The sequence below is a fragment of the Homo sapiens genome, chromosome 9 (assembly GCF_000001405.40).
Source record: "Homo sapiens chromosome 9, GRCh38.p14 Primary Assembly".
Lineage (NCBI taxonomy): Eukaryota > Metazoa > Chordata > Mammalia > Primates > Hominidae > Homo > Homo sapiens.
This window is the reverse complement of record NC_000009.12, coordinates 85,401,635-85,424,929: the sequence shown is the minus strand read 5'-3', so window position 1 is coordinate 85,424,929 and position 23,295 is coordinate 85,401,635. Positions and strand designations below refer to the sequence as shown.

The 23,295-nt window shown below is 42.5% G+C and overlaps 1 long non-coding RNA gene across 1 annotated transcript in view, besides 2 other annotated features; it reads left to right on the top strand.

Moving 5' to 3' along the window:
• The window catches only part of LOC105376121 (uncharacterized), a 42,215-nt gene extending 19,453 nt beyond the window's left edge, over positions 1 to 22,762 (top strand). The window contains exon 3 of the long non-coding RNA XR_001746810.2: positions 22,243 to 22,762. This is a non-coding gene — a long non-coding RNA (uncharacterized LOC105376121). The remainder of the gene's footprint in view (positions 1 to 22,242) is intronic.
• Positions 3,907 to 3,956: an enhancer, noted in NCBI's record as "active region_28512". NCBI's record gives its function as "activates an Ori minimal core promoter by ATAC-STARR-seq in GM12878 lymphoblastoid cells {active_cell/tissue: GM12878}" and the evidence as "EXISTENCE:reporter gene assay evidence [ECO:0000049][PMID:35858748]".
• Positions 8,945 to 10,144: an enhancer, noted in NCBI's record as "CDK7 strongly-dependent group 2 enhancer chr9:88029701-88030900 (GRCh37/hg19 assembly coordinates)". NCBI's record gives its function as "activates an origin of replication core promoter dependent on BRD2, BRD4, P300/CBP, MED14 and CDK7 cofactors, with strong dependence on CDK7, by STARR-seq in HCT116 cells {active_cell/tissue: HCT116}" and the evidence as "EXISTENCE:reporter gene assay evidence [ECO:0000049][PMID:35650434]".
• Positions 22,763 to 23,295: the final 533 nt, after the last annotated feature.

Sequence of the window (23,295 nt, the reverse complement as noted above, 5' to 3'; positions counted from 1 at the left end):
CCAAAGTTAGGACCCCGAAAAGGCAGGCCGTTTCTAAAAATGCTCCTTTTATCAGCTGCTCCCTTCTAAACCCTTCTAAACTCTTCTAAACCAAATCCAAAACCAACCAGAGGTCTTCGGAGCCACTGGAATATACCCTCCCCGGAGGTCTCTAAGTTCACCGTGAACCAATCTGTGGGGAGAGTAATGCCTCCATCTCTGCCAGCCAGCGTTCCGGGACCCTCAAGGACTACTTTGAATTTCAGAAGTGGAACTTCAGAAAAGCAGTGTTGAAAGAATCATTGGTGTTAATTAAAAGATGTAAATAATCTCTTTTAAAGAAATAGACTTGGCTGGGCGCGGTGGCTCACGCCTGTAATCCCAACACTTTGGGAGGCCGAGGCGGGTGGATCACGAGGTCAGGAGATGGAGACCATCCTGGCTAACACGGTGAAACCCCGTCTCTACTAAAAATACAAAAAAATTAGCTGGGCGTGGTGGTAAGTGCCTGTAGTCCCAGCTACTCGGGAGGCTGAGGCAGGAGAATGGCGTGAACCCAGAAGGCGGAGCTTGCAGTGAGCCGAGATCGCGCCACTGCACTCCAGCCTGGGTGACAGAGCGAGACACTGTGTCAAAAAAGCAAGCAAACAAACAAACAAAAAACTTTGTGCTGGTTTCCTAGCACTGCTGTAATAAATGCCGGCAAACTGGGTGGCCTAGAACAACAGATATTCGTTCTGTTGCAGTTGTGGAGGCCGAAAGTTGGAAATCAAGGTGTCGGTGGGACCATGCTCTCTTGAAGGCACTGGGAAAGAGTCTGCCTCATGCTTTTCTCTTAGCTTCTGGGGTTGCCCGCAATCTTGGCCTTCCTTGGTTCATGGCCGCATTTCTCTAATCTCTGCCTCCGTTGACACATGGCGTTCTTCTCCTGGGTGTCATTTTCTTCTTCTCTTTTTGTAACACAGCCATAATGACCCTAATGGCTCACCCTAATGACTCATCTTAGCGCCATTACATCTGCAAAGACCTTATTTCCAAATAAGGTGGGTGGCATATATTCTTGGGGGACAACATTGAAGCCATAACAGTCCTATCATTTCCTACAAGTGATCTATCATCCTTTTAAGTCTCCAAACCCACTGAGTAGCAAGGAAAAAATAAATTTAGTCCAGTCCAATAAACTCAGCCCAATCCAATAATTTAAATAGTCTATTCATTCTCTACAGGCATGACTAAGATACATGCTCAGTCTTTCTTATTTCCTCCCCCTTTTCTTTATATCTCCACAAAATGAGAGCTAGAGGTTTAGAGGGCTGGGTTTCTATGACTTCATGATTGTAGAGGAAGGGGCTGACTCACTCTGTCCTTGGATCCTGGCTGGTCTCTGCTGCAGGATGACAGCCCCAGTTTGTTCTGGAAATCATTTCCACTGAAGAAAGACTGGTCCCATTTAACATTTTGGGATTATATGCTAGTGTCTTCCTCTGGAGTCCCCCGGGATCTTGGCCATCAGTCCCTGAAATTTAGAAATCATTTTTTCATCCCAAAGACTGGCGTTCAGGTGATTATTTTATTAAAGGAACCAGGAAAACGGCTTTGAGGTGCAACATTGGTCAATGACCTCTTTGTTTCTGGTAGCAGTCAACCTTCCCTCCTGGAGGAAATGACCCTCATTGTATAGTTTTCTCTTTGCATGAAAACAAGATACAAGGGCAAATAAAAACCATGTGGTCTATGAGTTAGCTTCTGCTGTGTAACAAAGTATCTCAGAGCTCAATGGCTTAAGCAGAGAGTGGCAAACTGTGGCCTGCAGTATGTTTCTGTAGGACCCACAAGCTGAGAATGGTTTTACATGTTTAAAGCGTTTGGAAAACAAAATAAGATATGCAACAGAGACCATACCAAATATTTAGTAAGTCTAAAATATTTACTATTTGGCCCTTGATAGAAAAAGTTTGATTACCCTGGCTTAAAACAAAAAGCGTTTCTTATTGCGCCCAAGTCTCTGGGTTCTTCAGCTCCTGGATGGTCTCCTTCATGCATCTGAGGCTAGCTGTGGGTCAGGCAGGCAGCTTGGCTGATCTTGGCTGACTTTTCTCACATGTTTAGAGGTTGTTGGCTGTAGGTTGATCTAGGATGGCCTTGGCTGAGGCAAATGAGCTCTTGTCTCTGAGCTCTCTCCTCTTTCCCCAGGCTAGCCCAGCCTTGTTAACACAGTGGAGGTAGCATTCCAAAAAAGAGCAGAAATGAGCAAGATCTCTGAGGTCAGACTTGGATTTGACACACCTTCATTCTGCCACATTGTATTGGCCAGAGATCCCAGCCCAGATCTCAGGGTGGGGAAATAGACTCCATCTCTTGATAGGAGGAGCAGCAAAGTCACATGATAAAGAATGTGGGTGTGGGGAGTGGTGAAGAATTGAGGTCATTTTTAGTATCAGTCTGCCTCATATGGGTAATTTTCTAAACATTACCCCAGTAGCAAAAAAGAGAATTTTATTTATTAATATTTCCTCCAAATATTCCTTATGATCTTAAAATCCACATGTGTAGAAGCAATTTTGATGTGATTTAGAGCACATTAGGAACTTTTGTGCCTTATTAATAGAACTCTTAGGTTCTAAAACCCTAGGGTTAAGATTTTAAAAATTTTACACTAGGGCTGTTTTCTTTTTCTTTCTGTAACATTTTCTCTTCCCATTTCCAGATTTCCCCACCTGAAGACATGTTAGTTTTATTTTGTCAGTTTTTAAATTAACAATAGCTACTGTATTTTCCTGTCCCTTCAGTTCATAACTTCTGAAATCTGAGGTGGTTTAGGGAGTCCTTGAGAGGTGACCCCCAATACCCACCTACCACCTCCCCCATGAAGTTGCTGTTAGCATCTCTTCTCAGGAAATTTGTTTTTTTAACTTCCACATTGGTGCCCAGGAGAACCATCTCAAATTTTATCCCAGCCAACTTCAAGATGAGTTTGCCACCAAACTTCCCTTCACCCAGTCTCCAAACCCTGTGATTCATCTTTCCCTTTGTTGGGAGCCCCATGACTTTTGCTTGATGCTGTTTTAAGAGAGGGAAATGAAGACAAACCACAAAGATCCAAATCATTGACTCTTGGAGACTGAAGGAATGTCCAGCGTTTCTCTGATACGTTGCACTCTATTGTCTTTAAGAAGTGACCGGCCAACTTCTTCCTGGCTGTCTCCGATGTCAAAGAGCTCACTACATATGAAAGAAGACAGTTTTGACCAATGTAGACTCTGCGTATAGCTCCAAGATACCCTAAGAAATATCCATGCCATGGTAGCCACAGATTTTTACAGCATGACTTAGGGGCCAGCATCTAGTTGTCAAAATAAGAAAACCAAGCAAATTGAGGGCCTGCTGAGGGATTGGTGGCTGGCTCTCACTCTGTTGGAAAAATGCTCTGCCCTTGGGCCTTCTTTCCAAATTCCAGTTGTAAAAATCAAGCCCTTTTCAAAGCTCTAAGAACAAGGCCTGGAATATAAATTCCTTGGTGGTTTTCTTAAAGGGCTGGTGGCTAGTGGAAGGAAGTGGGTATGCAGAGGACAGACACCTGGGTTTGTTTAGCCTCCTGTATTCTGTTGTAGGGGGCAGGAGGGAGAAGCTGGGGCTGGGGGAAGGAGAAAGCTTTGTTCATTGAGAGGCCTGTGCACATGGAGCGGGCTATCCAAAATTGTGTGGGGCCTGGTGGGTGTGAAAAATTTTTTTCAGGGTTGTTATATGTAACAAATTGCATATTACCAATCCAACCTGCCAATGTCCAATCTCCCCTTCTTCTTTAAGAACAGAACCCCATTTTGTTGGGGGAAGCTCTGGGCCTAGCTAAGCATGATCGCTGTCTCAGACTCCCTCACAGCTGATGGTGGCCATGTAATACAGCTCAGGCTGATGAAATGTGAGAGGACATCTGCAAAATGAAAGCAAAAGCTTTCTTCTTACAGGTTCTGCCCCCTTTTCCTTTCCTCTTACTTCTTTCTGCCTGTCATGTGAATGTGAGGCCAGGGGATGCAGCGTCTCCGTCTCTATGGCAACTGCAAAGCAACAAGCATGGATGGAAGTCCATACCCTTGGGATTTACCCCCTGGGAAGCTGCACCAGCTCGGGACTGCATTCCTGGGCTTCTGCTGTGTGAAAAATAAACCCCCAGTGTTTAAGAAACATGGGTTGAGTTTTTCTGTTACTTTTGGCCCAGCATAGTTCTTACTGATTGTTGTGGTCTGTTTTGTGCTGCTATAACAGACTATCTGAGACTGGATAATTTTTAATAAGTAGGAATTTATTTGCTAACTATTCTGGAGGCTGAGAAATTTGATATCAAGGTGCTGGTATCTGGCAAGGGCCTTCTTGTCTCATGGCAGAAGGCGGGAGAGCAAAGAGAGAGAGCTGCTCTAAAATGCCTTTTAATTAAGGCGTTAAATCATTAAACGCACACTGAGGGTGGAACCCTCATGGCCTAATCACTTCTTTTTTTTTTTTTTTTTTGAGATGGAATCTTGCTCTGTGATCTCTGCTCACTGCAACCTCCGCCTCCCAGGTTCAAGCAGTTCTCCTGCCTCAGCCTCCCAAGTAGCTGGGACTACAGGTGCACACTGCCACGCCTGGCTAATTTGTTGTGTTTTAGTAGAGATGGGGTTTCACCGTGTTGTCCAGGCTAGTCGTGAACTCCTGAGCTCAGACAATCTGCCCACCTTGGCCTCCCAAAGTGCTAGGATTACAGGCGTGAGCCACCGCACCCGGCCCTAATCACTTCTTAAAGAGCCCACCTCCCCTTACTCTTACATTGCAATTAAATTTCAGCATGAGTTTTGGAGGGGTCAAATATTCAACCCATAACACTAATGTAGAGCACACACTATGCAACATGGCTTCTGTTTTTTTTTTCTTTCTGAGATAGGGTCTTACTTTGTTGCCCAGGCTGGAGTGCAGTGGTGCAATCATAGATCACTGCAGCCTCAAACTCCAAGGCTGATCCTCCCCACTCAGCCTCCTATGTAGCTGGGACTAGAGACAAGTGCCACCACATCCAGCTATTTTTTGTTGTTGCACTTGTAGAGACAGCATCTTTGTATGTTGCCCAGGCTGGTCTCAAATTCCTGGGCTCAAGTGATTCTCCCAACTTGCCTCCCAAAGTGCTGGGATTACAGACGTGAGCCACTGAATCTGACCCAATGTTGCTTCTTGAATGCTCTTGCCTCTTAGCTTGATACCTGAGACTAAAGTGTTAACATCAGGCCTGGGTGACTTGAGAGGCAGACTTTTTTCCCCAGTGCTGTTCTGTGGAAATGGCAGTTAAAACAAATGAGGGATGTTGTGTCTGTGAAGTCTCTGACCTGGGAGACTTCATCCGGGCTGGATGAGCTCTGAGTTGGCATGTGGGCCTGGGGCCTGCTGATCAGCATGGTATGAAAGATTGGTGGGAAATTGGGGTGGCTGTGCTGCTCTGTGTCGGATGACCCCCACCCTTTGGCTCTCATCCACACCAGCTGTTCATGTCCCATGTGGGTGAGGAGGTAAAAGAAGCTGCATCCTTGGGTAGCTGCTGGGCTTCTCATGAGCTGGGAATGCTACATCTGCTGTATCTCCAGTTCTGTGGCCTTCCATAAGGCTAAGTCAACATGGGAGAAGATGAAAGCTTATTTGCATCTTGTGAGCCTGCTTGCCAACTCAGACCCTTAACAACTTCTGTGCCAGACCCAAAAGATTTTATCCACACTACTTAGCAACATTTTATTCTCCCATCTGCAATAATTATTTTCTTACCCGTGTATATGGTCTCTTTGTGTTGCCTCAAATACGTATATATTTTATATACATATACATTATGGGTTCAGATGTAAATAATTTCTATAAATACAACTAAAAAGCTTTTCTCATCAGTGGCAATGGCTGCCTCTTAGAACCTCAAATGCTAGTCTCCAGGAGGAGTTGATGGTCACCCTCTCTGCAGTGGGCTGAGAGGTAGCTCTGAGGAATGAAAAGAGCATGGGCTTTGAAACCAGGGAAACCTGAAGTGAAATCCAGATGCTACCACTAGGCTTTGAGGTCTTGGGGGATTTGTTTACCTTCCTGAGCCTCAGTTCCCTTATTTGTATATTGGGAATAAGTCTCTGTGCAGAATACATGAGATAATATAGATATGATGTCAAACCTCATCCTGACCCAGGCCTAGCTACAGCCTCCCCGCATTGTTAGTTTCCTTCCTTCTTTTGAGCCTGTAACAACAGCAATAACAACATCTGTGTCATGCCTTTCTGCTTACAGTGCAGTGGGGGTTAAGTGCGTAGACTCTGAAGTCAGACCACCGGGTTCGAATCCTTGTTCTGCACTTCGGGAGCTGAGTGACTTTGGGCAATTGCTTGACCTTCTTCATGGCTCATTGGCTTCGTTTGTAGATGGGCATGGTAACAGGAATGCTTCAGAGGGTTGTTGTGAAGGTTACAGAAGGTGAAGGTAGAGTGGTTTGCATAGTACCTGGCACATAATTAGGACTCAGGTTTTGTCCCCTGGTGAGTAGCACCCGTGGTTGGCAGAGCTGGGGCTCGAAGCCAGGCCTCCAGGCATGGAACTGTTTCTATGCTCGGCACCATTCTTGGCACTAGGAATACGAAGCAAGAGTGAAACGCAGCTTCTGCTAATGATTGCAAGAAGCTCAGGGTCTGCAATGGGTGTTCGGGAAATAAGAATATTGAGGTAGATTTGTAGTTCTTTAACCAGCCACCCTTCTCCCCCATCCACTTGGATTTTACTCTCCCTAAGAGCAGGGAAGGTGCCCCTGAACCTGAGTAGGTGGCTGCCTATGGCCAGGTGGTAGAAGCCAGAGGCAAATCCCTCAGATCCGACTTGCTGTTTTCCATCTCTGTCACATCTATTATGTTCTTGTGAGGTTCTTTCCCTCACAGATTTATGTAACTTATCACCACAGTCACGTCTGTGTGTTTTGTTGATGCCATTTAAATTCTGTTACTATTTAATACCAAGAACATCTAAAAAGAACATTTTGAGGGACTTGAAAAATCCAATTGGTCTCTTGGTAATTTGATTTGTAGGAAATAGGAGAAGATAGTATTCCGAATAGAGTGCTTTTAAATGAATCATCATTGCTTTCTCGTACAGGCAATGGATGGGCTGAGATTGGGAGCCCTGTTAATCTTTCATTAGGTGGGAGATGCAGTCTGTGCTGGTTAGGAAAGGCTCAGCTGTGTGGCAGAAAATCCAAAATAACAGTGGCTTAAGCAAGATGGATTCTGTTTGTTTTTCAGGGGAAAGAAGTGTGGAGGAGAGAGTTCGTAGCTGACAGGTGGCTTTGCAGAATCCCGAGGAGCCAGTCTCCTTTCCTGTCCTTGTTCTGCCATCCTTAGAACATGGTTTCTTCCTTATGGGCCAATAAGCTACCCAAATGTCACCATATACCTGCACCACAACTGCAAGAAGGAGGGGGTGATGAGAGCATTCTTCTTTCAAGGCATTTCCCAGGAGTCCCACATCACACGTGTGCTTTCATACTATTGGCCAGCACTTAGTCACATGGCCACATTTAGCTGCAAGGCAGGCTGGGAAATTTATTCTTTATTCCAGGTTCCTAGGTACCCAGTTTAAATAGGGTTCTATTAGCAGGGAAGGAGGCGAGAATGGATACTGGAACATTATTTTGTGTTGCAGGCTTTGCAACACATTTTTTGGAGATCCAACTACATCCCCTTCTCTGCCAGGGAAAGTTGATTTGTTTGGAGGTCATGTCAGGGATCAGCAGCCGGGAAGTCCCTACTGTAGATGGGACTGCACAATAAGACACAAGAGACTAGGAAAAAAACCCACAGGATTATGAAGCACGCCTAAAGACAGAGTTGAAGAAACCTTGGAAATCATCTAGGGCTGTAGGTCAACTCTCTCATTTTATATAAGAAGCTACTGGGGGATACTGACTACCTTGCTGTGTCAAGGTAGTCAAATCCACACTTAGGTTTGATGATTCAATAGGATGATTCACAGAACTCAGAAAAAATGTTATAATCTTGGTTACAGTTTACTGGAGTGAAGGGATGCAGATTAAAGTCAGCACAAGAAAAGTGCTCATAGGGCAAAGTGCAGAAAAAAACCAAGTCTGAGCTTTTAGTTTTCCTCTCCTTATGTAGTTGGCTGACAGTGTTGAATTCACTCAGCTACAATGTGTGACAACACACACTAACTAGGGAGCTTCAGCTGAACCTTGGTGTCCAGGGCTTTCTTGGAGGTCAGGGGGCAGTCACATAAGCATGAAGTGTCTAGTGTCTCTCACTTGCCCCTCAGAGGTCAAACTGATATAGTGTGGCCCAAGAGTCCATCCATAAATCACATTGTTAGCATAAACTGTCTAACGCAGCCCAGGGCCCCAGGTATACAGAGACACTCTTATCAAGCAGGATATTCCAAGGGCTCAGAGGTGATCTCCCTGGAGCTGGTCAAGGGCCATTCCTGAAGATCTTTAGAATGTGTGGGGTTTGGGCAACTCAGGTCTGTTGAGGCAACCCTTTACTGCACACTTGCCCAAAGCCACACCTCTGTGGCAGAGCAGGTCCAGAATGTCCATCTCCCTAGAAGCCATCGAGGACAACTGGAATGAGTCACCTCACCATGGCAAAGTAAGCTCATCTCCTGACCCTCATCCAGTACAGCAACGGGATTAAGAGCATGATTTCAGACACACTCCTGCATTCAAATGGTCTCTAACACCTAGGACTGGCTGTCCCACTTAAAAAGGCTTCATAACCTCTCAACGTCTCAGGTCACTCATCTGTAACTATGACGAAGATAGTGTTATCTACTCACAGCATTGCTGTGAGGGCTATATAAGTTATAAACATAAGACTGTTAGAACAGTGCCAGGTATATTATATGTGCTCAATAAGTGAAAACTATAATTAGCGTTATGCTTCGCATGATGTTGCTGTTCCTCAAAGCCTCTTCTTATGGCTCCTGGGGAAGGTCAGCTCCCAGCAGCGAGCTGCTAAGGAAATTCTAGGACCATCTGCATCACTGAACACTGAAGTCTGATCTATACTTGGCATTGCCCATATGCAAAGTTCCCTCAACCATTTACTCTAAGCTGGTTTTCTGTAAGGTAAAGCTGCCCTGTATAAATTTCTTTTCATCTGTTTTTAAAGTAGGTGCTCTCTGATCTTTTCTCATTTCCAGAATAATCTCAGATAAGCCTTTCCTCTGGAGTGGTTCTCTGCAATGCTTCAAAGTTCTCTGTGCTCCTCCAGAGAAAGAGTTCCCAATTAGTTTTTGTTCCTTGTTTGGTCAAATTCAGCCCTAAAAGGCAGGATTGAAGGATTCCAGGATCCTTTTCCCTTATTTGTAACTATCAAGCTGTGCAGTTTTAGAAAAGTCACTTAATTTCTCTGGGCTTCAATGTCCTCATCTCTAAATTGAGAGGAAAAGGAGAGACAGTTGCTGTGAGATTCTTCCCATCTCTATGCTTGGATGCTGAATGTGGATGTTTAATTTGTGTCTCAGGCCATTTAGTTGTTGCAATTATACATCCATCGTGTGTGTGTGTGTGTGTGTGTGTGTGTGTGTGTGTGTGTGTTCCTGTGTGTGGGCTTGGGGTAGCTGGAAGATGGGAAAGCAGCAGGAATTCAGTTAATGCATTTTTCCCACAGCTTTTATGTTGCTGAGCAATCCTGAATCATAAGCGTGTCAAAGAGGAGGCTGTTTGTGTTTGGGGTAAAAAACCTTCAGCTTCCGTGCTGCCCCCTCTCACCATGCTGTAAATGCCAATGCACTTGGAAGGGCTGAAGGAGAAAACCTCTGATATTCTGGAAGCTTTGGAATTGCCTTGGGACAAAAATCTTAAAGTTGATCTCTACCAGTCTACTCTTCTGAGAATGCAAGACTGAGTTTTAACCAAGGGCCAGGACTCTGGGCTTATAAAGAATGTGCTGGGTGATGTTTATGAAGAGGCCGACTCCAGGAAGGGGAAGACTTTACCTGCCTTTGTCCCTTCCCTTCTCCTTCCTCTCTCTCAAGGCTGTTCTCTTTGGAAGTTTGCTCCCCACCCTTACCCTGATGGCTTCCTGCTGTCTCTGGTCCTAACATTCTAGAGGCAGTGTCACCCAGAACTACTGAGCGGGCAAGAAGAGCCAGCAAAAGAACTTGCTGTCTTAGTCATCCTGCTCTGTCCGCCAAGCAGGTATCTTCTCTCAATCTTCTTTTTAAAGCGATTTAAAAAAGGAAACAGACGCTCCCCATGAAGCCTGAATAGCAGCATTTCTATCATCTGTCATCATGACATGGGCTGACATGAGAGCAGCCCCAGCAATGGGGCTGACAGTTTGATGGGTTTAATTTCAGGGCAAGGAGACTCTGCAAAGAGGCAGCTGCCAGGAGTACGCCACTGGTGGCTGTGGGAGGGTGAAGGGGAAACAGGCAAGAGGAAGGGACCTAATGATGCAGCCAATCATGACAACAGCCCAACGTGGCTGTCATGATGAGTGCTTCACCCAGCATTATTGTCACTGAGCTCAGGCTGTCAGTGGACTTACTCAGCATCTGCCCAGCTCATTCCTCTCCCTCTGGAGGAGGCCACTCTTTGGTCTCTGTCTGAAAAAGGGAGGCAGAGATCAAATAAATTGTAGTGAGATGAGGAAGTTGATCAAGTTGGTAAAGGATCCTACCATCACTGTTCTTAGTCCTGGGTGGAAATCGCTCTATGAATCAGAATAAGATGGACATTCTTTTGCATCATTTTCCCCTCCACCCTTAACCCCATTTGATGTTCTCATGTGAGGTTCCAGTGCAAACAACAGAGAATTATTGCCAAGAGAAATAAAATACAAAAACAAGGCACGGATCCTTCCCCCAGGCTCCATGTTTCGGTGCCCCTGTGCCTCTCCCCACAGTGGCACGTGAGATCTAACTTGCAAGAGATGGGTTCATCCAACACCCTACCTGCCCTTCTCTGATTGCACAGGCAAGGTTCCTATTTTGTTCCCTTCTGAGCCCTGTGGATTGGGAGGCCTGTGAACAAGCATCGTTTTTTCATTCCACTGACATTAGTTGGTGCTGCATGCTAGATATGTGCTAAGTGTGTGTGTGTGTGTGTGTTCCCGTGTGTGGGCTTGGGGTAGCTGGAAGATGGGGAAGCAGCAGGGATTCAGCAAAACATTTATCCCCTGGTTTTATGTCGCTGAGCAATCCTAAATCATAAGCCCTTCAGGACTAGAACGTGATAAGAAAGACTAATAGGCAAAGAGGTGATCTTTGGAAAGGGAAATTAAAGACCATCTTGTGATGCCATTTTGCACACCCAAGATTGGTCTTAAAAAGACTGAACATATTAAGTGTTGTTGAGGATACAAAGTAACCAGATCTCTTATATACTGCTGGTGAGAGGGAAAATTGATACAAGTACTTGGAAAATCATTCTGCATTATTTAATAAAGAGGAATATGCATATATGCTATGGCAGGGCAATTCTATCATTAGGTTTACACCTAGGAGTCCTTCTTTCACATACACTCACAGCAGCAATGTTTAAACAGTAAAACACTGGAAACAATACAAATGTTCACTAAGAATGGAATGAACATTTCAGAATACTATACAGCAGTGAAAATGAATGCACTGCTATTACTACTACACACGTTGGCATGCATGAATATCACTAACAAATTATAGAACAAGAGAAGCAAGCCACAGAAGAATATGTTGAACATGATTTTGTTATATAAAGGTCAGAACTAACAAAATTAAGCTAAATAGTAAAAATTAAGCTAAATAAGCAAAATAGTAAACTTTCTGCCTGTGTGTGTGTGTGTGTGTGTGTGTGTGTGTGTGTCTGTGTGTGTGTAAGATGGAGTCTCGCTCTGTCACCCAGGCTGAAGTGCGGTGGGATGATCTTGGCTCATTGTAACTTCTACCTACCAGGTTCAAACGATTCTCCTGCCTCAGCCTCCTAAGTAGCTGGGATTACAGGCACACACCACCATGCCTGGCTAATTTTTGTGTTTTTAGTAGAGGTGGGATTTCACCATGTTGGCCAGGCAGGTTTTAAACTCCTGGCCTGAAGTGATCCTCCCATCTCAGCCTCCCAAAGTGCTGGGATTACAGGCATGAGCCACTGCACCCAGCCAGTAAACATATTTTTAAAAACAGCAATAGAATGTCAGCCACAAAACACAGGATAGTGCTTATTACTTCTAGGGGTAGCGGGGCTTCAGGAGGAGCACAGTCAGAAAGTATCTATGGCTTAGCCTTGAACCTGCTGATTCCTACTTATGGAAGGCTCATGCTGTTCAGATGTTTTCCCCTTCATTAAAAAAATTGATATATAATCAAAATAAAATAAGCTCATATACTTAGAGCACACTTTGGTAAGTTTTGACATATGCACATAATCAAGATACTGTACAGGTCACTCACAAAAATTTCTTCCTGCCTTTTGTAATCTCTTCTCTCATCCCCTCCTTGTCAACTGCACCCTTCCGGAAGGTGCCCAGTACATTGATCTAACTTCTGTCTCTATCTGTAAGTTTGCGTTTTCAGGAATTGTATATAAAAGGCAACATACAATATTTCCTTTTATCTGTTTCTTTTCATTCAGCATAGTTATTGTGAGAATTACTCATGTTGCAGCATGTATCAATAGTTCATTTGTTTTATGTTTGAGTAGTGTTCTATTATATGTTATAACACAATTTGTTTACCTGTTCACTTGCTGATGGACATATGGGTTGTTTCTAGTTTGTGGCTATTACAATAAAGCTGCTGTGAATTTCACATACAAGGCTTTGCACTGACATATGCTTTCATTTCTCCTGGGTAAATACATAGCGATGGAATGGCTGATCCTATGTTGAAATTTTTAAGCTGCTGCCTAATTTTTCCAAAATGATTGTACCATTTTTATATTCCTACAAATGGTGTATGAGAATTCTGGTTCTTTCTACATCCTCCCTAATAGTTGGTATGGTCAGACGTGTCAATTTTTAGCTATTATAATAGGTGTGTAGTGGTATTTCATTATAGTTTTGATTTGCATTTCCTGAATGAGTATTGATCTTGAGCATCTTTTTTGTCTGTCTTTTTTTTTTTTTTTTTTTTGACAAAGTCTCACTCTGTCACTCTGTCACCCAGGCTAGAGTGCAATGGCGTGATCTCGGCTCACAGCAATCCCTGCCTCCCAGGTTCAAGTGATTCTTGTGGCTCAGCCTCCCAAGTAGCTGAGATTACAGGGGTGTGCCACTATACCCCGCTAATTTTTGTATTTTTAGTAGAGATGGGGTTTCACCATGTTGGCCAGGCTGGTCTCAAATCCCTGACCTCAGGTGATCCACATGCCTCGGCCTCCCAAATTGTCTTCCTTGATGAAGCATATATTCAAATCTTCACTCAATTTTTAATATTTGTTATTTTATTGAGTTTTGAGAGTTCTTAAATACTCTAAATTTTTACATACTGCGATTTGCAAATATTTTATCTTCACAGTGTTTTATGAAGAATGGGAGTTTTAAATTATGATGACCAATTTATCAATTTGTTCTTTTATAGAGCATGTTTTTGGACACTTACCTAAGAAAAATTAACTGAAAATGCATCACAGGCCTATGTAAAATCTAAATATGAGGGTTTTAAAAATTTATTTATATTTTGTTTTGTTTTGTTTGTTTGTTTTTGCTCATATACATCCAATTAATCTAGGACCATTTGTTGAAAAGACTGTTCATTTTCCACTTTTGCAACTCTGCTGCAAATCAATTGTCTGTATGTGTGTGCGTTTACTTCTGGACTCTATTCTATTCCATTGATTTCTTTGTCTGTCATGTCAATACTACATTATGTTGTTATCTATGGCTGTAATAAATCTTGAAATCAGGCAGTGTTATTCCTCCAACTTTGTTGTTCTTTTTCAAGCTTGTTTTAGCTATTCTAGATCCTTTGTGTTCCCATATGAATTTTAGGTGTAATTTCTTTAGGGTTGAGTACAAAATGTCAAAGTTTCTTTTACAATGGTCTTCTAAGGATACTGGTTAGTGAGTGAGTGAGGAGATGGAGCGAAGGGAGTGGTAGAGACAGAAAGATTTCTAGCACCAAGTAGGTATGAGGTACATTGGCACCAGCATCTGGGACAGCCTGATGCTGTCAACTTTTGATACATTGGGGGAGGGCCAAACCCACTGCCAACCTAGGCCAGCACAGCCAGTGGTGTTCACCTGTGAAATGCTGGGAAGTTCCCCATGTGTCCGGTAACCCAGGCACTGCATGGCACCTTGTCCTGAATACTGCCCTAAATATTTTCTCTGCTGGCCCTTTGAGAGTGGGGTGGTGACAAAACACTGAGAGTCAGATAGAGCCAGAAAGGGGATCCCAATATCCACCTCCAGATTCTTGAGGGCCTTCCTCCTGGCCATGTCTCATGTGAGAACATTATGAAAAGTGAACTGGAAAGCAATCTGTCCCCAAAGCAGGAGAGACCCCTCAGGCCCACCTTCTCTCTGCCTCTATCAGCATCCTTAGAGAGCTGGATGAAGTTTAAAGCTCCTCTCTTTCCCTCAAGTGCACAGATGTAGTCACACATTGGCACTGAATGTCAAGGAGCTCAAGGAGGCAGATGTGGATGACACGTGTCCTCTTTTTGCTGTCTCACATCCAAATCCCCCTCTTCCTTGTGTGGCCTTGTCTCCTGTTGGAGCAATTTGCTATTGTGTATCATCATGGTGGGTGGGCAGTTCCTGGTGATAGCCACTCCCGGCTGCCCGCCACCATGAAAGCTGATGGAAGTCAGATCCTTTGTCCATCTATCTTGTTGGACATGTAGGCACATGTCCTAAGCTTGGCCTGGTGGACACTGGCTCCTGGCACATTGGACCTGAAGTAAAGGAAGCCAAGATGAAGGGAATAGTGGAGGTGAGAAGCAGGGCAGTGGCAGAGCCTGGACCAGGCCTATCTGTTCATGCAAGGTGACATTTTGGTATCCCTTGCTCAGTACTTGCTACATAGAGGATGCTTAGGGAATGTTCAGTGAATCAGTGCATGGATGATAATACTATCAACAGATCTCCTTTCTGCTAAAGAAAAACATTATCTAGAATCACAGACTTGTCAAGTTGGAACAGAGCTTGCCTTCCTTTCTTATCTAATTCAAACCCTTTATTTTGCTGATAAGTAAACAGAGACCCAGGAAGTCTGAGGAACTTGACCAAAGTTGCCTCCCTGCCTCTTGCCACTCCCCAGGCACAGGTCTAAATATTCAGACCTCCAGTTCACTTTCTTTCAGGTGCTCCATTCATATGCTTATAAAGTACATTTAGATATTACCCTGTTTAAGTAGACACACAGAGACATATTTATAGCAGAACCATTGAAAATGATGACAGTAGAGGGCTGCCTTGCCACCAGCCAAAATTGAGGGAAGAGTGATTCAAGGTATTAATTAATAGGGCTGTGGCTGATGTACATATGAGGAGGTCTGGCTTTTCCTACGTGAGGGCTCCACAGGGCTGACTGCAGTACTTGAGTATGTGTGGATTTTGGTGTACGAGGGGGTCCTGGGACCAATTTCCCAAGTATACCTAAAGATGACTGACTGTATTTAGAATTTTTTCGGATCTTAAAACATTCTTTTACTTTCTTCATTTTTCTGACCAGAGTTTGCTTTAAGTTGTCTTTCTCAAGTCACTTAGCTGGTACCTTGGAAACCAGCCAACACCTCAGCTCTCTGGACAGGACTACTGGGTTTGTAGATCCAGGTTGGACTTCTTCTAGAAACTAGAACTGGAACACAAGTGTGTCAGTTTTCTGAAAAAGTGTACGCTGAATGCAGATTTGCTTCAGTGAATGGAACCGGCTAGAAAAAGTCTTTATAGTTAGTTTTTTTGTTTTGTTTTGTTTTTTTGAGACAGAGTTTCGCTCTTGTCACCAAGGCTGGAGTGCAGTGGTGCAATCTCAGCTCACCACAACCTCCACCTTCTGGGTTCAAGCAATTCTCCTGCCTCAGCCTCCTGAGTAGCTGGGACTACAGGCATGCACCACCACGCCTGGCTAATTTTGTATTTTTAGTAGAGACGGGGTTTCTCCATGTTGGTCAGGCTGGTCTTGAACTCCCAACCTCAGGTGATCTGCCCGCCTTGGCCTCCCAAAGTGCTGGGACTACAGGCATGAGCCACCCTGCCTGGCCTATAGTTAGTTATTAAACAAACAGCCTAATGGCCCTCGTCCATGTTTGTTACCAGGTAAATAGAGACCATTCAGACATGCCTAAGCCTGTATTTACCCAAGGGCATTGTCGTCAGTGCTAAATAAACAAATCAGATTTTGTTACATCTCCATGAGGTTTGTTGCAGTTTCTCTGAGTTTGGTAATGATGAGGAAAAGGAGAAGCTCAATTGTTAAAGATCAGGACCTTGGAATCGGTACCTAGGAATCTTCAGTGTAAGACTCTTTATGGGTCCTTCCAAGAGCAGACCCTGAGACAAGGAATTGGGTTTAAGTGGTTTGTTTGAGAGATGGAATGAGGGAGAGGGTGACAGGAAAGAAGGAAGTGGTGTGACAGTAACCTGGGGAGGGCAGCTGGGGTTCAACCTGTCGGGGACCTTTGAGAGACGGTGGAGAGCGTACCTTGATGCACCCTGGTGGGGGAGGAACATGCAGCATCGCTCACCAACCCTTGTCCATCATTGCTTGTGGGTTGCTCCTGAAGTGTCAACTCCCTGGCATTTTTGTCTGCAGGTGACCGCTGAGGTGGGCCAAGCCATGTGGGTGGGAAACCAGTGGCAGATGCTACGCTAAGGAAATGCTATTCCAGTTCTCTGAAGAAAATAGGATCCTTTGTATAGCACTGTACAGTTCTCCCTCTTTAAATATCACCATGACAACCACGACAAAATAGAACACCTAAAGTTAGGAATAATGTAAAATTTCAGGAAATGTGGACTACGAAGATTTGTATTTCCATTTGATAAGAACATTTTACAGGAAAAATTCAATACTAAGTTTCATTCTCTAGCTCTTCATTGTCCATATATTTGCTGTTAGTATCTCTCTCTCTTCCATCTTCCTCTCTTTCTCAACATCTTACGTAATTATAGCATAATATCAAACCAGAAAATTCAGATTGATACAATCCAGTGACCTTATTTTGATTTTACTGGTTTTACACATGCTCATTTGTGTGTATGTGTATATTTAGTTCTAATAATTTTATCACCTGTGTAGACTTCTGTGACCACCACCACAGTGAAGATATGGGACATTTTCACAACGATCCCTTCTGTTATCCCTTTATAGCCACAGATACTCCCTTCCCCTCATGCCCGCCCTCAGCAACCATTAATCTATTGTCTATTATAATTTTGCATTTCAAGAATGTTGTGTAAATGCAATCATACAGCTGCAACCTTTTGAGATGTTTTTTTCTACTCAGCATAACCTTTTGAGATCCATTCAAGTTACTGTGTATAATCAATAGTTTGTTCCTTTTTACTGTTGAGTAATATTTCATGGTTTGAATGTATTACAGTTTGTTTAACCATTCACTCACTGAAGGACATTTTAGTTGGTTCTTTTTTTTTCTTTATTTTATTTTTGAGACAAGGTCTCAATCTGTCACCCGGGCTGGAGTGCAGTGGTGCAATCAGGGCTCACTGCGCCTTGACCTCCGGGTCAAGTGCTCCTTCTGCCTCAGCCCCCCTCAAGTACCTGGGATCACAGGTACATGCCACCATGCCCAGCTAATTTTCATATTTTTTGTAGAGAGGGGTTTCACTATGTTGCCTAGTTTGGTCTTGAAATCCTGGGCTTAAGCAGTCTTCCCACCTCGGCCTTCCAAAGTGCTTGGATTACAGGCATGAACCACTGCGTCCAGCTGGTTTCTGTTTGGGGTTATTATGAATAAAGCTGTGATGAACACCTGTCTACAGGTTTTTGTGTGGATGTAAGTTTCTGTTTCTCTGGCATAAATGTCCAAGAGTATAATTGTTAGGTCATATGGTAAGTGCATATTTCGTTTTACGAGAAGTTGTTACACTCTTTTTCACAGTGGCTATGCAATTGTATTTTCCCACTAGTAAACTAACGTACCAGCGATCAGGTTTCTCTGTACCCTCATCAGCATTTTGAGATAGTAATGACCTCTTTTGTCTTGGATGAGGGGGTCAGGAAGATTGTCTTTGCTTTGGATTGAGAATAGTTCTTTTGTTTGCAAACTTTACAGAAAGTTAGCCCCATTCTGGGCCACATAAAGGATATCTTTTATAATCTTTACTCTTCTGTTTTCTGACTGTTTCTTTTTTAAACTTGAAATAACAATATATGTGGTAAGTTTTAATAGATGAAAACATTTCCCATGATGAACTTCCCTCAGGTTAAAAAACAAAGGGCCAGTCCCCAGTCTGTAGAGAAATAAATGACTCACATGTAGTCTGAATCAATGCAGGAAGATGGAAGAGGGGAGAAAATGAAGGATGGAGAAAACCTGAGGAAAATGATAAAAGAAGTCCATTATTCATAAGATGTGATGAACATTGGAACAATTTGTGAAATAGATGAAATACCCCCAGAATACATAGTAACAAAAGGAAATGCATTTGTAATGACACTGGGCTATGGTCTGATTCAAGGGATGTGTTAGAGAACATAATTTGGGTTGAAAAGGATGTAAGCTACCATCGGTTTAGATGTCATTTGTAGTTTTAGAAATGAGATAATTGATGCCCGGATCAATTAAATTGCTTGTCCAAAGCCACTCTGGGGTCCAGCTGCAGACAGGGGCCAGAGCCCCATGCATTGCACAGTCTGGACATTAAAAAAAAGATTTTCAGCTTGACCTGTGCCAGGCATTCTCATGTCACACCATGCCTTGCTTTCCTGGACATGTCATCTGGTTCCAAGCTGGAAGCTTCTACATTGTTCCACTTTGCTGTCCACACCTATGCATCTTTACAGTGGACACTGGAAGGTGAGTGAAGCATCTCTGTGAAGACCCACCAGGTTCCTTGTTTCCAAATGTCCTCTTATGTCCAGACACGTACAAAGACTCAGAGGTAAAAAGAAGAGCTAGCCGTTTAAAAAAACAGATTAACCAGGGCGAGTTTTAAAATAGCAAGACTTAAAGTGATTCAATGTTAATTGAATATTGAGTAAGGAAGAGGTAGGGAGTTAATTGAATGAGTGAGCTTGGGGTTTCGAATAATTTTTTCATGATGTGAAGGAAATTATTTCAGAGTTGGACGCAGATCAGGGGAGAGAGAGGCTGCATAATCCTTGGAAGCAGTAAATGAAAGCCATTTAGTTTGGTGGGAAAAACATAAGCCTGTCGGTTTGTTTGTTTTTCCTGTAACCTTGTAAAATTCTATTTAAAATATCCAGCATTTGAAAAAATTGTTACAGAAGTTACATGTTATATAAAAAATTTAGAAACTATTGATAAGCAATAAAAATAAAATAAATATCATTCATGATCTCATTATAGATACCGCTGACATTTTAGCTTACTTCCTTTTTGTTTTTTTCTGAGAATAGTCATGCATCGCTTAAGGATAGGAATCCATTCTGAGAAATGCATTGTTAGACCACATCATCATTGTGTGAACATTGTAAGGTGGACTTGCACCAACCTAGATGGAAGAGCCTACTACACACCTAGGTTGTGTGGGACAGCCTAGTGCCCAGGCTGCAAACTGTACAGCATGTTACATACTGAATACTGTAGGCAAGTGTAACACAATGGTCTTTGTGTATTTAAACATATCTACACATAGAAAAGGTACAGTAAAAATATGATATGGTACACCTGCATAGGTCACTGACGCTGAATGGAGTTTGTGGACTGGAGGTTGCTCTGGGTGAGTCAGTGAGTGAGTGGTGAGTGAATGTGAAGGCCTAGGGCATGAGTGTACACTACTGTAGACTTCATAAACACTGGACACTTAGACTACACTAAATTTATTAAAATATTCTTTTCAATAATAAATAAACCTTAGCTTACTGCAAATTTTTAGCTTTATAAATGTTTTAATTTTTTTTTTTAGAAAACTTCTGGCTGTTTTGTAATAACAGCTTAAAACATGAACACATTGTACAGCTGTTCATGTTTTTTTCTTTATATCCTTATTCTATAAAGCTTTTTCCTATTTTTAAAATTTTTTGTTTTTAGAACTTTTTTTGTTAAAAACTAAAATGCAAACATATAAGTAGCCTAGGTGAAGATCATCAATATCACTGTCTTCCACTTCGACATCTTATCCCACTGGAAGGTCTCCAAGGGCAGTAACACATGGAACCATCATCTCCTATGATTTCAATGCCTTCTTCTGGAATACCTCCTGGAGAACCTGTCTCAGGCAGTTTTATAGTTAACATTTTGTTTTTCTGAGTAAGAGTAGGCTCTAAAACAATAATAAAAAATCTAGCATAGTAAATACATAAACCAGTAACATAGTTGTTTATTATCATTATCAAGTATTATATAAGCTCCATAAGTTGGATGTTCTAGAATTTTATACAACTGGCAGTGCAGTAGGTTTGCTTACGCCAGCATCACCACAAACACATGAGAACTGTGAAATGCAATGACATTAGGAAGGCTACGTCATCGCTAGGTGATGGGAATTTTTCAGCTCCATCATAATCTTATGGACCACAGTCAAATGTGTGGTCCATTGTTTACTGAAACATCATTACGTGGTGCATGAGTATACATGTCTTTCATATAGATATATATATGTGGTGTGTGCTCATATGTATATAATGTCTATAAATATAGGATCGTATTGTTTTGTAATCAACCTTAAAATTTAACAGTCCATGAACGCCTTTCCAATATAATTTTAACCTGTCTAGTGTTCTATTTTATAGATGTTCTTTAGTTGATTTACCCCATACAACTTCCCTTTTATAAATGCGCTGTGATAAATGTTATGGTTTCATTGTTGTGCTTATACATTATTGTTTCATTAGATTAAATGTGAAATTCCAATGTCAAATGAAATGTAAATTGTAGGGCTTCTGCTACCTCCTAGTGCTATAGGATCAACCTGGGGAAGTTTGTCTTGATTGCCACTCCTGCAGTCGGTAGGGTTTCCCACGTCCTTCCCAACAGTGGCCTTCAGTATATCTTTTTAAAAATCGCCAACTGGATAAATAAAAAAATCTATATTTAACATTTTTATTTTTTGATTATTGAGGACATTATACTTAAAAAAATAAGTTTATTGGTTATTTGAGTTTCTGTATTTGTAAATGGCCAGACTATGTCCTTTGTTTTTTTTCGATGAGGTGCTGATCTTCTTCTTAATGATTTTTTAATTCCTTTGTATATATTAAATTTACTCACTCTTTGTTTTCTATGTTGTCAAGGATTTTTTTCCTGTTGATTGTAGGCTTTCAATTTTATGTACTTTCCTATGTTAGTAATTTTTATTGCTGTTACTGTTTTTTGGATTTTTTTTTCCTGTTATTTGCCTGACTGCTTTTCGTTTTTAGGCAGTCAGATCCATCACTGTTGTGATTTCTGTCATTGGTCTCATACTTAGAAGGACGAACCCATTCTTAGATTACAGAACTACTTGTCCACATATTCTTCTAGTTCTTTTATCATTTTATCTCAAATCTGCAATTTACTTTGGTGATAGGTTTTATTTCAGGATACAATTGCAAAATATTATGTTCTAATTTATATTTGTAAAACAACTATTAGGATGGTTAATGACCAATTCTGCTGTGTTTCTATAGTGAGTACATTTGCAGTCAACCTGTCTATACTGGCTAAACACTGTTACCCACACCTGGGCCTGGGACCCTCTGTGATCATCACTATTTAATTGCTTAAAAATCAGAGTAGGACTTGGGGTTCACATATATTAAGAATGAGGACCATCACTGTAATACTGGCTGGCACGTTCAAATTTTTCTTTTTTGGTTTGGATTCTCAAACACTTGAAAGTACATTCATGTTTTGTTTTGCTGGAGTCCTATGAGAGTAAGTGTATGTGTTCCAGTCACTGGCCAAAGTCTGTAGCTTGTGAGAAAAGCTGTCCTGGGGGAATGGTGAGAACCAGTGAGTGAGTGACTCTCTCTCCAGACAGTACCTTTCAGCCTCTATCCCAAGATGCTCGCAGCTGGGTGGATTGCTGAGTCCGATACACCTCAGAGCACAAACTGCACTTCCTGCACATTGACTGTCTCTGAATGCCATCAGCTGCACAACAGGTTGCCTCCTACATTAGAGTTAAACTTCAACTTTTCTTTTTCTTTCTTTCGCAGAGCTTCAAATGTGAGAACACATTCCAGCTGCAGGATCAGAGGACTTTTCCTACAGCCCATAAGTGCCTGCAGCTCTATCGGATTTGCAAATCTACAAAAGAGAGCACATCCTATTGTTCCCGGTTTTGAGTTTTTTTAATAGTATGTCTTGTAAAATGCTGGTTGCTGGTGGACAGGGGTGTTTTACAGATAGGTGTGACTCAGGAGGGGAAATGGGTGGGCAGAGACAGCCACAAGGAATTCCACACATGAAGGAAATGCTCCCACTTGTGTTTTCTATTTGTGTTTTAAATTTGGGGAGCGACTCACAGGCACTCAGCAAAAGTAACTAATTATATTAACCTTATCAGTAGTGAGGTTTCCTGGTCTCTCATCAGACACTCAGCTCACTGGCTGGTATTTAATTGGGAGCCTGGTGGCCAGTGAAAACAGTGTGGGATGAGTCACACTTTAACAAGTTTTTATAGTACAGCAACCTTGCTGTATAATAGCCAGACATTATTAAAATTCAGATATGGTACACTGACTTGTTTGTTTTCCTTATTCACATGAAACAGATGCTCAGGACTCATTTTACTTACACACAGTAAATGAGGGTCAGCTGTGTTGAGGGAAGTGAGTACTTTGTTCTGGAAGGATAGATGTTGTAGCAATTGTCTTGCTCTGATTGTATTTGAAAAGAATGAATGTTGTTAGTACAATTTGGTATTCTTCCAATGCCTAGTTGGAGTTCAAGGGATATAAAACTGGGCGCTTGAGGAGTGGGATGGAAAAGGATGGAGAAGGAAGGTCAAATATGGCTTTGAAGGGGATCAGCAGAAGCCAGAGGCCGCAGTGGTGAACACTCCTTGTGAATGGCCCTTTGCACCCACGGCTTGGTGAACCCAGCATGGACCGTGGAGAGAGGACCTGCCTAAAAACCAGAGACGGGGTTTGCCTCTCCGCATCACCACTGGCTTGCTGCATCAAGAATCTGCCTTTCAGCTTCTTCACCTGAAACAAGGTGATTGGGATAGCTGGTTTTATTTATTTATTTTTGAGGCCATTCTAGCA